The sequence below is a fragment of the Homo sapiens genome, chromosome 7 (assembly GCF_000001405.40).
Source record: "Homo sapiens chromosome 7, GRCh38.p14 Primary Assembly".
NCBI lineage: Eukaryota > Metazoa > Chordata > Mammalia > Primates > Hominidae > Homo > Homo sapiens.
In genome coordinates, this window is record NC_000007.14 from 92,524,703 (window position 1) to 92,540,687 (window position 15,985).

Consider the following 15,985-nt stretch of genomic DNA (forward strand, 5'->3'; position numbering starts at 1 on the left):
TTTTTCTCACAATTTTCACAGAACAGTCCAACTGTTCTGGCTGACAAATTCTTTCAACTGAGTGTATTTTGCCTAGATTTGGAATCAAAAGTCTTAAGTTACCATATCAGCTGTAACCGTGTGAGCTATTACAAGAATGAAGGTGATCAAGCCCCAGATGCTTTCTATGGGTTTTCATCAGAGTCAGCAATACATAATCCAGATAAATTCTACTTCATATGAAGAAACTTAAGAGATGGAAATATGAAAGATGCCCTGAAATATCAAAAAAGGAAACTCTACCAGCTCACTGAAAAAAGGAAAAATGAACCTTATTGAGGAGGAAAAATACTTCTAATTATTTATTTGGTCAAAAAGTAGTAACCAGCTCCATAAAGCCACAATATGTGCTCAGTTATATTGAGCAAACTCTGCAGACCAATGTTCTAAGTTAATTTTTATGTCAAAATACTTCACTTGAACCACAGAGCCCTGGCTATTCAGGTAAAGAGAAGAAAGAGACAGCTAGAAAGGAGCGTCTTTTCCAGGAGTCAAATCAAATCAATCAATTAATTGACCTTCTTTGACCCAAACTGAGGTATCAGTATTACCAGGAAATCTGCAGGTAAAACCATACATCAGAATGCCTTAGGAATAATCAGGTCCAAAGCCTAGGGTATCTCTTGCTAACACAAGGGAAATGAAAATTGTGTGGCCATATCCGAATGGTGATTTAGGTTCGTTTGCATTCACTGTGTATATGAATCCTCTCCCCCTGCTGCAATCACATCAAGTTCTGAGTACAGAGAAGATAACTTAGTTGAAGCGGTGGTTCTCAACCAGAGGTGATTTTGTCCTTCAGTAGACATCTGACAATGTCTGAAGACCTTTTTGGTTGTCACAGATAGGGGGAGGCAGTACAGGCGTCTACTGGATAGAGGCCAAGGGTGCTGTTAAACATCTTAAAATGTACAGGAGAGCCCCCAAAACAAAAAATTATCCAGCTCAAAATGTCAACAGTGCCAAGGTTGAGAAATCCTGACTTAAAGCATCTACTGGGTAGTCAGTCCTGAAATAATGACTTGAGTAAACAAGAGAATACAATACTTGAAACACAGTACAGAGTATATCAAATGTGATGTGTCACATAACACAACAGAGAAGTATTGAAAGGGAGACAAATGTGGGCAACAGAGAATTGGAAAGCTATGTGGAGGAGGTAGGATTATTCCTTTTTAAAGACATGGAATTTGTATGGAAGGAAGAAAAATGACTGAGGGAAGAATGGCATGAGTAAGAGAACAGAAGTGGGAAGGAGATTGGTTATAGAAGAAACAGTGAGAACGGTAGGTTGGGTGATGCAGAGTGAGCTATAGACAAGAGGGCAAATTAGCTGCATGGCAATGGTACTGGCCTAGGAATGCCAGTTTCCTTACATGTAAAAGTACAGAAACGACCTAGATGCTTAAGGTCTCTATCGTCATTAAAATTCTATGATTCTAGGACAGTAGGTCTCAACTCTTTTGTGCATCCAAGTAGCCTGAATAAATTTTTTAAAATTAGAGATGCCTAAAGCCTATTCCCTAAGATTTTAGGTCTGATTTAATAGGTCTGAGGGTTGATCAGAACATCTGTATTCTTAAAAGCTTCAAGGTAAGTCTGACATAGGCCAGAAAACCATTGTTCCAACCCTTCTTCCCATTACTGCATGATCTGTATTATGCACTCAATGCTTCACCCCAAATAAAGTAATTCAAGTATTAACTCCCAACTTGTGAATCTTTCTGCTTTCATAATTATCTATGGCCTCTAACCCAAGAATTCTGGGAATCTATCCTAGACAACCAGAAATAAAATGATGTTTTCTAAACAAAGATGTGTTATTTTCAACGTCTGATTAAAATATAGTTTATCACTTCTAATGCCTAAAAATTAAGTACAATCTAAATGGTCAATCATAGTAAACAATTAAATAAATTATGGCAAATTTGTGCTAGAATACTAATTAACAACTTAAAATGATGACCTTTTAACAAAATAAAACACTCATAATAACATTAAATAAAAACACCAGGACACAAAACTGTACGTGTGTATACAGGACCTCATTTATGTTAAAAATAAAGATTAGAAACAAAACTGGAAGATTTGATCCAAACTGTCAACATTAGTCACCTCTAAGTTCTGGGATTATGGGTAACTTATTTTCTTGTTAATAATTTTCCATGCTTTCCAAATTTTCTATAAAACATAAATTCTATAAATTTATATAATTCATCGAGGAATAAATGTATAGATTTATGGAATCTATAAAGTAATAAACTTATTACATTGATAATTAGAAAGTAAAGTTGACCTATTCTGCTAATATGGGCTGAACAGAAACAGCAATTTGTTCCAGGGCTAAAGACATTTACATTTCAAAAAGATATGCATGAATTAATTCTTATAAGTACTTCCCGAAGGCTCAAAATTTAAAACAAAGATCAAGACCACTAAATTCTTAAACAGTGATGAATGTAAGGTAACAACTACATCTTAGGATCAAATTAGAGTTACTGTAAGAAAGCATTCCTACTATTAAGTGCAGATTTGAAAACATGTTGAAAAATCCCATCGAAGCTGACAGAGCACTGAACCAACTTCTACCTGGAACTTGGTGACAGTGACTGATTTGTCTCTAGCCATAAAGCCCATCAAAAACCAAAAGATTGTCTACTTAGTGGTAAAAAATAATAACGACGATGATAGGAGGATTCTGCTGAACTCATGTTTTCAGTGGACCAAAAATATCTTCCCCTAGGTATGGGGAAGTAACTCAAGTGGAAAGAAGGGATGCTTGAAATTATTGCAAACTCTATTCATTGCATAGATTAGCCACTGGTGGGTACCATGCATCCAGGATTTATGAGGATTTCAAATACGCCGTCCTTTTGCCCCCATAAGTACACTCAAACTCGTGAGACCATGTGCCTCTATTTTTAATTATGAAAATATGGACGCTGTATCTCCACCAGTGGTTAGAACTGTGAAACATCCTAACCACAACGTCCAGAAGGGCGACTGATCGCAGAGCTTCAAGTGATCTTAACTACGTTATGTGTTCCTAACACACTACAGCTGTGTTCCGCGTCAGCGACGCAGGGCAGAACCATCATTGTATTAACCTTTCCCGCTCATGGGACGCGGTGCTTAGTCCCCGGGAACCGACAGGGGCTCCGCCAACAACTCTGCGTCCCGCTCTCGCGGCCCGGACGGCAGCAGCGCAGGTTAACTGGAAATGGCTGGCAAGGAAAACACCTTTTAAAATAATAAAAACAAACCACTTCTCAGGAGCTTTTCCAGCCTGGAATAAGGAATATTTATAAAAACAGTGGTAGAATATTAGGACGTTTCTAGGTTCAGTTTCACCAAGTGAAAAGACCTGGGATAAGACGAGCCCAGGGCTGCACTGGACTTGTGGGATCCAGAGACTACCCAGAAGGGCCCTGCCGTCGAGGGACCCTGATCTCTGCGCGCTTCGGCGGCGCCCGGGTGGCAGCCGGTGTCCCGCCGCGTCCCTGAGAGGCTTCGGCCTCGTCCGACCCCAGGCTGAAGATCAGGTGGCTCGGGGCCGGCAGGTTACCTGCAGCAGATGCAGCTGGGCCACGAGACGCCGCGGCAGGTGGAGGAAGCAGTCGCGAGCGTTGGTGAAGGCCACAGTCACTGCCGCCCCGCCTCCCCCAGCACCCGCCAGGCGATCGCTGCCCCACATCGTCCCGGAGCGTCGCTCTGGGTTCGCCCACCCTAGCGCCGCAAAGGACCCGGGACCCGGCAGGCCGAGGACGTCGGAGCCGGAGGAGATCGATCGGCCCCGCCCCCTGCGGCCCCGCCCCCTCTCCCCGCTGCGCATCCTGCCGTAAGCCTGTAGTGGGTGGGACAAGAAAGCTTCTGTCACCCACCGCGCCTCTCCGCCGAGCCGCTCGGGGGCGGCACCTCGTTCATCAAATCTTCGCACGCAGGAAACGATGGCCGACGCTGTCGATTCTCCAGCCAATCCTGGCACTCCTTAACTCATCCCGCTCTCTTATTGGATAAAAGGGAGCTCAGTAGGGCGGATGTTGTCCTCCCTGCGAGGATCAAAGTAGGCAAGATGGCGTCGAGCGGCGGGGAGCTAGGGAGTTTATTTGATCACCACGTCCAGAGGGCGGTATGCGACACACGGGCCAAATATCGAGAGGGACGACGGCCTCGTGCTGTGAAGGTAAAGTGATTTTGGTTTCATTCGCTCTCCTCGGTAGCTTTATGTGAGTGCTAGCGCCATATGACCAGCCTACGGAAATAAAGGCACGACAAGGCTTCCGTCAGATCTGTCTCTCGTTAGAGCTGGCGTGAAGAACCCTCGGTCAGTTACCAAAGATTCTCACGACGCCTTTGGTCAAGTATTAGAACATCAACTCCACGAGAATAGGCCTTGGTTTTAGTCATTGGATCTTCTGTGTTTACAGTACTACTTGGCACAGGTAAGCACTCAGTGAATATTCGTTGAGTGATTGTTCCCAGTGACTTCTACCGACTCAATTTCTGGAAAAAAATGTCGACTGAAGGTAGTCTGTTATATGCCTTAGGTAGCCTCTCACATGGACTGTTATTCTTTATGCAGAAGGAATGGCAGAAATTTCATTTTGTGTTCTTTTGCTGACTGGGTTGAACAGATTATTTCTTGTTTTCAAAGTTCTCTTTAAAAAAAAATAGAGGCAGATTCGTCCTAGGCTTATTTGCGAAATACGTTTAATAACTCTGCATTTCTTTCAGGTATATACAATCAATTTGGAATCTCAGTACTTATTAATACAAGGAGTTCCTGCTGTGGGAGTCATGAAGGAATTAGTTGAGCGATTCGCTTTATATGGTGCAATTGAACAGTACAATGCTCTAGATGAATACCCAGCAGAAGACTTTACTGAAGTTTATCTTATTAAATTTATGAACTTACAAAGTGCAAGGTAATGTGCAAGTTAAGAAATGACTCATTTCCTCATTTCTTCCATTCATATTTCTGTCATTTTGGCCCCAAGTTTCCCTCATTCATAACTGAATTACCCCAAAACGTAATCTAGCATATCTTCCTCCAGCCTTTTTAAAAGTTAACTTTACTGAAACACTGTATCCATCACATCATTCCCATGCTTAACAATTTAATGTCCTGTAGCTTGGTAGAGTAGAAGTTGGGTTTGGCCAGGCACGGTGGCTCACGCCTGCAATCCCAGCACTCTGGGAGACCGAGGTGGGCGGATCACGAGGTCAGGAGTTTGAGACCAGCCTGGCCAACATGGTGAAACCCCCCTCTCTACTAAAAATACAAAATTAGCTGGGTCTAGTGGCGCAGGCCTGTAATCCCAGCTACTCGGGAGGCTGAGGCAGGAGAATCGCTTGAAACCGGGAGGCAGAGGTTGCAGTGAGCCGAGATTGCGCCATTGCACTCCAGACAGGGCAACAAGAGGGAAGCTCTGCCTCAAAAAAAAAAAAAAAAAAAAAATTTGGGTTTGAAGCCTGGGCGTGGTGACTCACGCCTGTAATCCCAGCACTTTGGGAGACCGAGGCAGGCAGATCACTTGAGGTCAGGGGTTCAAGACAAGCCTGGCCAACATGATGGAAACCCCTCCTCTACTAAAAATACAAAAATTAGCCGGGTGTGGTGGTGCGGACCTGTAGTCCCAGCTACTCAGGTGGCTGAGGCATGGGAATTGCTTGAACCTGGGAGGTGGAGATTGCAGTGAGCAGAGATCATGCCACTGCCCTCCAGCCTAGATGACAGAGCAAGGCTCTGTCTCAAAAAAAAAAAAAAATTCTGGTTTGACGCCAGGCACGTGGCTCACACCTGTAATCCCAGCACTTTGGGAGGTCGAGGTAGGTGGATCACCTGAGGTCAGGAGTTCAAGACCAGTCTGGCCAACATGGTGAAACCCTCACTCTACTAAATACAAAAATTAGCCGGCTGTGTTGGTGCAAACCTTTAATCCCAGCTCCTGGGGAGGCTGAGGCACAAGTATCACTTGAACCCAGAAAGTGGAGGTTGCAGTGAGCCAAGATCATGCCATTGCACTCCAGCCTGGGCAAGAGTGAGACTGTCTCAAAAAAAAAAAAAGAAAAAGTTGGATTTGATCCCAGCACTTTGGAAGGCCAAGGTAGGCAGATTGCTTGAGCCCAGGAGTTCGAGACCAGACTGGCCAACATGGCCAGTATTTTGTATTTTGTAAAAATACAAAAATCAAGCTGGGTGTGTTGGTGCATTCCTGTAGTTCCAGCTACTTGGGAGGCCGAGGTAGGAGAATCAGTTGAGCCCAGGAGGTGGAGGTTGCAGTGAGTCTTATGGGCCACTACACTCCATCCTGGGTGATGGAGTGAGACTCTGTCTCAAAAGAAAAAAAAAGTTGGGTTTGGAGTAAGTTTTCCATTTCCACTGCTTACTAGCTTCATGATCTTGGGCAAGTTATTTAACCTGTTTAAGTTTTTCCTCTTCCATAAAATCTGTATGGTAAAGGGACCTATCTACTTCTTGGGGTTGTATGAGGATGAAATGAGATAATCCATATAAAGGTGTATCCTGGTCAGAATACAGTAAACATTAGCTATTGTGGTTTCTACTGTTACTCCTTTCTGCAAACTGACTCAGTTTTTTCCAGCCTTCTATGTGACATAATCCTCTGCTCCAAAAAGGCTGAAGTATGCAGTGCCTTATCTATTTTTATATTGATCTCTGTTCTCCTCACTAATCTGCTCTGAGACCCATCCTTCTCTGGCTATTACAATTCATATTTTCTTTCTTGTGCTATCAGTAGAACTCATAGTCTACCACAAAAGCACTTGATTTTACTGGGTCTTGTGTGGTTTTCTCAGGCTGCTGTTATATGTAATTTCACTTTCTTAACCAACCTGCCAGCTCCCATGGTTAGGGAAACATTTTCTAGAGCTTTTCTGTTTTCTATAGTACGTAGTCTGGTAGGCTCTGAAGTAAGACATCTGGATTTGAATCCTTGCTCCTCAAACCAGACTATGAGCATGGCTAAGTTACATAATGTCCCAGTGCTTCAGTTTCATTACAGTGTTGTTTTTAGGTGTTAATTCAAGTGAAGCGCTTATGACATTGCCTGGCATATGGTGAAATCTCAACAAGTATTTATCATTATCCCTGGATATAGAAGTAGTTAAATTTATTGTAGTACCTGGCCAGTCATAGATGTTTAGTAAGTATTTATTGACTGAATAACATTCTTCTCATTTTCTCATTGTTATATATTTAATAGTTCCTCAGTTATTGAATGTTTTATGATTATAGTATCTTTCATCTGATTTTTAAGGCATGAATCCCATCACAGAAATACATAGTGCTGAAAAAGCTTAATTGGGTATGAACCAACTCTTCAGGGCCACAGAGAAAAGCTCCATTTTATGACCACAGTTTACATACTTCAGGCCAACCAGCTGGGTCCTTAGTTGTTTAAAGACTAGGGAACAAAGAGGCTCAAAGGGAAGGAAAGGGGAGGCTCTACGAGTACATACTCGATCAATGGGATGAATACTGTCCACAAGCAGAGCATCTTAATTCCCAATCCACAGGATATATATACACGTAGCAAAAGCTGGACTTTGCTCTTTAGATCCAGATATTGCATACTAGTTAAGCTTTCATCCCAAGTAAATCTAGATTAAAAAACTATGCTATCTTGTATTTCCATTCAGGACAGCCAAGAGAAAAATGGATGAACAGAGTTTCTTCGGTGGATTGCTTCATGTGTGCTATGCTCCAGAATTTGAAACAGTTGAAGAAACTAGAAAAAAACTACAAATGCGGAAGGCATATGTAGTAAAAACTACTGAAAATAAAGGTATGGAAAGCATATTGCTAAATGCCTCCTGTGTGTCAGGCACTCTGCCAGGTGTGTCATCATGCAATTCCCAGTCTAGTGGTAGGAGAGGCAAGTAAACCATCACAGTATTCAGTAACTGTGAACCACAGGGTTCTCTGCAGCACACTACATAATCTGGGTTGAGAAGGGAGAAATATTGGTTCATAGAAGACTTCCTATAGTATGTGAGAAGTGGCTGAATTTTAAAGGATAAGTAGACGTTAACTAAATGGGAGAGGAAAAGATGGAAAGGCAAGCCAGGCAAGATGTTTAAATGTTTAGAGGAATAAATGAGCATCATGCATTTAAGGAACTTTAATTAATACAGTATAACCAAAGCCCAAAGGTTTCAGTGAGAGATAAGTTTAGAAAAGTGGGTAAGAAGTGAATCATGGAGGGCCTTGTGTCCCATGCTAAGGAATTAAGGCTTTGACCAGAATGCAGTGAGAAGCAGTTATGATTTGCAGTTGTCAAATCATATAGTTGTCACTGCTAATCATGGAGAAGTTCTACTTTTGACCAGCAATTGGCTAAATGCCCCCACATGCCTGTTCTACCACATAGTGATGGAGAGAAATAAAGTGGGAAAACTCTTGGAAAACTTACTCAGAAATCTGGTAAGAGAGCTGTTGAGAATCCCCAGTCATCTGCAGACATTGAACTCTAACTTGTAAGATAAGTAAATAAATAGCACCAGGAAAACTTGTATGTTTGTGTGGCAAAGGAAATTATAAAATATTAATGTGGAGAAAGACCTTTGACATTATCTGACCTGGGTCCTAATTTTTCTGGGTGAGGAAACTAAGTCTCAGAAAGTTTGTGACCTGCCTATATTATTAGAGATGAATTAAAGACAAAATAAGGGTTAAAACCCAAGCTTTGGACTCTGTCCAGAGTTTACTTTTTAACTGCTTTAATCATCTCAGTGTTGGTGACAGCCTAGGATTATCTTCATTATTTGCTCCCCTTCCTCTTAAGACCTTTTTGCTGTGCTGCTGACCTCAGAATTAAACTATGACTTGTTTGGCCTTGGACACTTTAGTTAAGCTCTCTTTCATCTGCAGCATTCTAGCCTCTACAAGATGCATTTGTATACGTGGTCTTACTTTTCAAAAACTCTTATTATGGAAATTTCAAAACACACAGGCAGAGAGACTAAGTTAACATAACTCCCATGTATTAATATTAACATTAACAATCATCAACACATAGCCAATTTCATCTTTACCACATCTTCCATACTCCATTCCTGTTGTAATCTGCTTTTGGGAGAGTAAACCAGGGAAGAGGCCCTTGCCAGCCCTAGAAGTGCGACAAGCATATTGCTTTCTTTAGTGACTAACAAACACAAGCCAAGGAGCATGATACATCCAGATAGTGGAATACTCTGAAATTGTAAAAAAAAAAAAAAAAAAAAAACCTTTCTATATAATGATGAAAAACCTCTGTAAGATCTACAGTGAAATGGAAAATGCAGAGGTGCAGAGAAATGCGTATTACAGGTTATCTTAAAGTGGGGAGAAAATGGGAGGAAGGAGGTGGCAAAGTGAGACATATTGAACAGATAAATAAAAAACAATAGTGATTACTTATGGGGATGAAACCAGACCCATGGAGAGCAAGGAAAGGGTGACACTTGATGCTATATATCTTTTTATCCGTTTTAGGTTTTAAACCATGTGAATATATACCCTTCTCAAGAAATGATTTTTTTGGAGTAGAATTTGTTAACATTTTTAAGTGATTTTTTTAAATTATATGATTCTGAATGATGAAAACAATAAACCACTTCTGTTTCCCTTTCCCTCAACTTTTAAATTGTAATATAAAGACCATTACGTGACAAAGAAGAAATTGGTTACAGAGCATAAAGACACAGAGGATTTTAGACAAGACTTCCACTCAGAGATGTCTGGATTTTGTAAAGCTGCTTTGAACACTTCTGCAGGGAACTCAAATCCTTATCTTCCGTATTCCTGTGAATTGCCTTTATGTTATTTCTCCTCAAAATGTATGTGTTCATCCGGGGGACCTGTAGACAGAGCACCAGACTCCTCTAAGGATGGTAGAAACCATCATAAAACAATGGGGCATTATAACCACAATGACTCTTTGCGGAAAACACAGATAAACTCTTTGAAAAACTCAGTGGCCTGCCCTGGTGCACAAAAGGCTATTACGTCTTCAGAGGCAGTTGACAGATTTATGCCTAGGACAACACAACTGCAGGAGCGCAAAAGAAGAAGAGAAGATGATCGTAAACTTGGAACTTTTCTTCAAACAAACCCAACTGGTAATGAGATTATGATTGGACCTCTGTTACCAGACATCTCTAAAGTGGATATGCACGATGACTCATTGAATACAACGGCGAATTTAATTCGGCATAAACTTAAAGAGGTAAGGTTATTTTTAAAAAACTATTCTAAGACACGATTTGGTTATAGGATTAAATGGAGAATTATTTGTGGGAACAATAGTACTGTAATTTTTTTTCACTTTTTAGTGTTTTGATGTGTTTTTCTACAGTTCTCTGTTGAAATAACTGAATTTGGCTAACATTTTATTTGCTTTAAACTGTTAATACTTGCTTTAAACAATGAACAGACATTTTATATCACTGTAGATACAAAATATTAAAGCAGTGGTTTCAGCCAATTAAATCAATCTGTGAGAGTGGAGCCCAGGCCTGCCATTTTTGTTAAAAGCTCCCCAGGTAGTTCTAATATGAGCCAAAGTTGAGAAGCAAAAGTATTGTAAATTATTTCTCTCAAATTTAGAGTTATTACAGTTTATATCAAATTCAAAATGCTTAATTTGCTTTTGTGATAAAGAGCAATAGAAGGTGGTGAGATTTCTAAAAATTAGGCCTCCAGGTATGCATTTCAAATGTAGACTTCTTAAATGATCGGGATCAGATTGTGCTGCCTAGGTAGTCTGTTTTTTTTTTTAATGTCATTTACATAATCATTTTCCATTTCCTAAGCACAAATGAAGTTAACATCTGAGTTAGCTTTTGAAAGACACCTTTTTGTGGGGTAGGGACTACTGTTACAAATCATAAACTGAGGGTTATGACATTCTCTTATACTTACTCCAAGATGCAGAAACTGCTTTTCACATAGTTTTACTCATATTTTACAATGTGATTAAGGGAGGCTAAGGTAGTTTAATTTCATATATGTACATTTTTTACCTAAAAATATCTGATTAAAGGTATTATTTAATAATAATTAAAATCCGTGGGCACAGTTTTGAAGCCTTCTTTAGCTTTTCAGTTTAGGCTGGGCCCAGTGCCTCACACCAATAACTTCAGCACTTTGGGAGGCTGAGGTGAGCAGATTGCTTGAGCCCAGGAGTCTGAGACCAGCCTGACCAATGTGATGAAACCCCATCTTTACCATAAATATACAAAAATTAGCCAGGCGTGGTGGTGAACTCTTGTAGCTACTTGGGAAGCTTAGGTGGAAGGGTACTTGAGTCTGGGAGGCGGAGGTTGCAGTGAGCCAAGATCATGCCACTGCACTCCAGCCTGGGTGACAGTGTGAGACCCTGTCTCAAAAAAAAAGGTTTTCAGTTTGTGCTGCCACCCTTACTTCCTTCCTTCAGTTACAGCTGAACTGAGGCATAGACATAGATACATACCTGTCTCAACCAGAGCTGATTACATTTTCAAGATAAACGTGTGAAGTCCAAATTCTAGGTCCAGAAATAGAACAACAAAAAAAAGATATTAAATACAGTTTACTATAGTTTCTAATAATTTTCCATTTCAAATGAAGACTCTTACTTTGCTTTGACTTATTGTATACTCTTTGTACACTCTTTTTCTGATGGTGTGTTTGCTTTTCCTTTTTCTCCAGGAAATTGAGGATTATACTGCTTCCTGCTCATTTCTCCAAAGGTTTTCATCCCCCCAAATCTATCAAACGTTATCAGTGTTTCAAGAATGCAAAACCAGGATATCTATCTGAATCCGTAATATAACAAGTGTCTTTAGATCTATAAAGGAATGTTAAAGTAGAGCATATGTTCACTTTTCTTCCTCCAAATTTTTTTTCTTTTTAAATAGCTTTAGAAATTTTACTGTCATCAGTATTCAAATGGAAGACTCCACTCTGTGCCTAGGTCATAGGCTGTACCTTGAACTTAGGCGAACTCTGCCTCGAAAGTGACATCAAGGATTGAACTATTGGATGTAGTCTTACCTCTTCTAATAGCTTATTTACTCCTGTGCTATAGAAACTAAGTTTTAATGGTTCTTTTTTTTTTTTAATTAGGTAATTTCATCTGTGCCAAAGCCTCCAGAGGACAAGCCAGAAGATGTACATACAAGTCATCCATTAAAACAAAGAAGAAGAATATAGAGTGCCAGCAGCAACTTAGTATTTTCTAAAAAGAACATTTATTATTTATTTTTAGCCTGTCATTTTAATTCTTCAAGAGATTTTACTGCTGGTATTTTTTAATGCACTCCTCTTTGTAATTTCATTCAAGCCATTTGTCTAAAGTCATTTCTTTGTTTTTTGGGAGATGGAGTCTTGCTCTGTTGCCCAGGCTGGAATGCAGTGGCGTGATCTCGGCTCACTGCAACCTCCACCTCCCGGGTTCAAGCGATTCTCCTGCCTCAGCCTCCTGAGTATCTGGGATTACAGGCGTGCACCACCATGCCTGGCTAAGTTTTGTGTTTTTTTTAGTAGAGATGGGTTTTCACCATATTGGTCAGGCTGGTCTCGAACTCCTGACCTTGTGATACACCTGCCTCAGCCTCCCAAAGGGATGAGCCACCGCGCCTGGCCCATTTCTTCTTTTTTTGACCCATACTTAATGTTGCAGAAACTATTCTTGTCATAACATTATCTCTCATGTACAGTAATTATATGTAAATTAATTGAAGCAAATATGGAAACTTTACAATAGAAATAAAGATAGGCAGCCAGCGTCTGTTTCCAATTATAATACAAGTATTGAATGAACCATTGAAACACTAGAAGTCAGGATGTTTCCGAATGCCAGGGTTTCAAAATCAAGACAATTCTATGAAGTAAAAAGTAGATTAGCTATTAGAACAAAGCTGAAATTAGAACCTTATATGCTTTAAATAACTTTTAAGAATTTGCTTGACCTGTGGCAATCCAAAAATACATCAGTATTTATAAATTCTAGACTTCTGTTACTACTTCTGGCATATCCACACTTTTTTCTGTCAGTGGATTACATAATTGGAAATTTCAGTACATCTAGACTGTCTCTATTTTCTTTTTCTTTTTTTATTTTTAGTAGAGACAGGGTCTCACTGTGTTGCCCAGGCAGGTATTGAACTCCTGGGCTCAAGTGATTCACCCACCTCGGCCTCCCAAAGTACTAGGATTATGGGTGTGACCCACTGTGCCTGGCCATTTTCTTTACTGATAAAAATAACTTGAGAAGGTCCATACCGTGGTGTGTTGTTTTCATTTCTCCCTATCTTTAATGGCCTCTTGCCTAGTGGATTGAATTTGAACATACCAGTTAATAAGGTTCAATTTCAGCTATGATGTACTTGTAGCAGGACGAGCTGCAGACAAAACCCCGCAGACACCAGGTTATAGAAAGAAGAGGCTTTATTCGGCCAGGAGCGTCGGCAGACTTGTGTCTCAAGAACCGTGCTCCCTGAAGAAAAAGTTCCTGGTCCTTTTAAGGGCTTACAACTGTAAGAGGGTCTGCGTGAAAGGGTTGTGATAGACGGAGCAAGTGATCTATAGGCAACACATGGTTAGAGTTGGGGGGTTAATCTTTAACCTCAGGCCTGGTCAGTGGCGTCGGTTGGTTTTGCCACTGGCTCCATTCCTGTTGTTTTTCAGCTTTTACTCCCTCCTCCTCTTCAGAGATGGGAGACAGGAAGAGAAATGGCCTCTCTCCTCACACTGATCCAAATTAACTAGGATGGCTCCAAGTGGTAGATGGTACTAACAGCAAGCTGCAGATAAGGAGGGTAGGCCCTACTTCCATGTGAGGTAATTAGATACAGTTTTTGCTGAAATCTCAGGTAAAGGATATATTAGAGACCTAAGCATAGAATTGGAAGGAGCAAATTGCTGTCTGGTTCAGGCTTCTCAGACTATAAGTTGCTATGATCTCCACCTCAGGATCTTGTTAAAATGCAGATTCTGGTGGTGGTGGTGGCCAGGGGCTGTGGGGAGGGAAAATGAGGAGTTACGGTTTAATGGGCATAGAATTTCAGTTTTGGAAGATGAAAAGAGTTCTAGAGATCTGTTGCATGACAAACGTTACCTGACAGTTAAGGAGAGGAGCTGCTAAATGGGTCGTGTGTTTCTGAATGGGTTCCTGATAGTCCTGTGACCATGCGGAAGCCAGCACTCCTCATCCCCACCAACATAATTCATCATGAGGAGAGACAGAAAGAAACCTTTGTGGTGTCAAGCAGCAAAACAAAACAAAAAGATTCAAATTAAGTTGGTTTGGGTGGGGCCTGAGATTCTGCATTTTTCCCAAGTCCCTAGGTGCTGCCAGTGCTGCTGGTGCACAGACCATCTTTGAATAGCAAGGCTCTAGATAACTGGGCTACAGATGAACTCTGGAAGCAGCTGAAGAACGGTTGGCTGTTCCATCCTAAGCAGTTACTCTGATCTAGTCCATTATGCTATATACTGTTTTCGCTCATCTCTTTTCAGATTGGAAGCCTGCCTTTTACACATTGCTTTTTACCACACGTTTCCAGAAAGTTAAAATGCGGGGTAGAGGGAATAAACTACAGGGAGACAAATAAATTAAAGAGATGAGTTGAGGTGGATAAGGATAGCTTAATAACATGCAAGCTAATTTACAAAATTTCCATATAGGTTATTATTTTGGGCACAGTGGCTCATGCCTATAATCCCAGCACTTTGGGAGGCCAAGGTGGGAGGATCACCTGAGGTCAGGAGTTCAAGGCCAGCCTGGCCAACATGATGAAACTCCATCTCTACAAAAAATACAAAAAGCCAGGCGTGGTGGCAAATGCCTATAATCCCAGCTACTCGGGAGGCTGAGGCATGAGAATTACTTGAACCCAGGAGGCAGAGATCGCAGTGAGTTGAGATTGTACCACTGCACTCCAGTCTGGGCAACAGACGGAGACTGTGTCTCAAAAAAAAGTGTTCTTGTATACCATGTTTGAAAAGCATAGTTGATAAAGGAAGAACATGTAAGGCAATTTTATGAGCCAAATCAATTATTAGACTGATACTTGCAGCTCAGAAAACTTTTGTCAGATGCATACATGAAAAACCTTCATAAGCACAAAGTACTCTATGTCTCCAAAATTTTAAAAACATTGACAGCAATTGTATTGAAAGAGATCAAGTGTTCTAGCAGTTTGTGGTGTACTTGCTGAAACTCTATTCAGTGTTCTATCCCTTAAGCAAGCCAATATACCCTGGATTTGGTTTGGGAAATACACCATACTTACAGGAAACAGGAATTGTCTATTGCTAAAGAGGTTAAAAGCTCAATGGAAGTCTTGAATATAGTTACTGAAATAATCATGAATGTCTTCTTGGGGCCCAAATGCCAGGATGGGGCTGAACTCTCAATGATTGCCTTGACTTCAGCAGTGGGCTGCAGCCCAACAGAGGAGAGTGTCTAGCAAGTATTACTCTCTGACCCTTTAAAATTTTTCCTGAATCTATATGGGCTATTGGCACTAGTAACTATACATTTGCTTCTGGTAAACATGGTCCAAACACCTCCAACAGAAGTCTGTCTTCTCTTACTGTTTTTCAAAGTCTGCAAGCGATAGCTTGCCATCATTGTCATAATCTTAGGAAGATGTTTCTTGGTAAATACTAGTTTTAAATTTTGCATGGCAAATAGCTCTCTAGACTAAAAAAATTTTACCAAATAAAAGTTCACACTTCTGTAGACACCCTACATACATAAAAAATTATTTATTTACAGAGGCCACTTATTTTATTTGTACTATTCTAATAGGCATACCTGAGTTACCCTAGATATATAAAATATAGCCCTGTCCCTAAAACACTTATACTCTAATTGGAGAAATAAGATAAAAATTAGAGGAAGTCCATTATTATATGGCTACTTTATGATAAAATAAGTACAATAGGGCAATGATT

The 15,985-nt window shown here is 40.6% G+C and overlaps 2 protein-coding genes across 9 annotated transcripts in view, besides 3 other annotated features; one reads left to right on the plus strand and one right to left on the minus strand.

The window, feature by feature from the left end:
• The window catches only part of PEX1 (peroxisomal biogenesis factor 1), a 41,496-nt gene extending 37,678 nt beyond the window's left edge, over nucleotides 1-3,818 (minus strand). For all 4 annotated transcript variants that reach the window (NM_001282677.2, NM_000466.3, NM_001282678.2 and 1 more), the window contains exon 1: nucleotides 3,605-3,818. In NM_001282677.2, coding sequence (NP_001269606.1) covers nucleotides 3,605-3,733 — 129 coding nt within the window. In that variant the 5' untranslated portion in view covers nucleotides 3,734-3,818. The remainder of the gene's footprint in view (nucleotides 1-3,604) is intronic.
• Nucleotides 3,237-3,416: an enhancer, noted in NCBI's record as "active region_26261". NCBI's record gives its function as "activates an Ori minimal core promoter by ATAC-STARR-seq in GM12878 lymphoblastoid cells {active_cell/tissue: GM12878}" and the evidence as "EXISTENCE:reporter gene assay evidence [ECO:0000049][PMID:35858748]".
• Nucleotides 3,647-3,876: a silencer, noted in NCBI's record as "silent region_18372". NCBI's record gives its function as "represses an Ori minimal core promoter by ATAC-STARR-seq in GM12878 lymphoblastoid cells {active_cell/tissue: GM12878}" and the evidence as "EXISTENCE:reporter gene assay evidence [ECO:0000049][PMID:35858748]".
• Nucleotides 4,017-4,396: an enhancer, noted in NCBI's record as "active region_26262". NCBI's record gives its function as "activates an Ori minimal core promoter by ATAC-STARR-seq in GM12878 lymphoblastoid cells {active_cell/tissue: GM12878}" and the evidence as "EXISTENCE:reporter gene assay evidence [ECO:0000049][PMID:35858748]".
• RBM48 (RNA binding motif protein 48) lies at nucleotides 4,093-15,779 on the plus strand. 5 transcript variants are annotated; one of them, NM_001363366.1, is made up of 6 exons: nucleotides 4,093-4,222; nucleotides 4,774-4,964; nucleotides 7,702-7,847; nucleotides 9,700-10,268; nucleotides 11,732-11,772; nucleotides 12,149-15,779. In NM_001363366.1, the coding sequence occupies exons 1-6, from the start codon at nucleotides 4,112-4,114 to the stop codon at nucleotides 12,150-12,152; spliced, it is 1,062 nt and encodes a 353-aa protein (NP_001350295.1). In that variant the 5' UTR covers nucleotides 4,093-4,111; the 3' UTR covers nucleotides 12,153-15,779. The 5 variants fall into 5 exon arrangements, with proteins under 5 accessions (NP_001350295.1, NP_001350296.1, NP_115496.2 ...); NM_001363367.1 differs by lacking the exon at nucleotides 11,732-11,772 and having other exon boundaries at nucleotides 9,536-10,268; NM_032120.4 differs by lacking the exon at nucleotides 11,732-11,772.
• The last annotated feature ends 206 nt before the right edge of the window (nucleotides 15,780-15,985 follow it).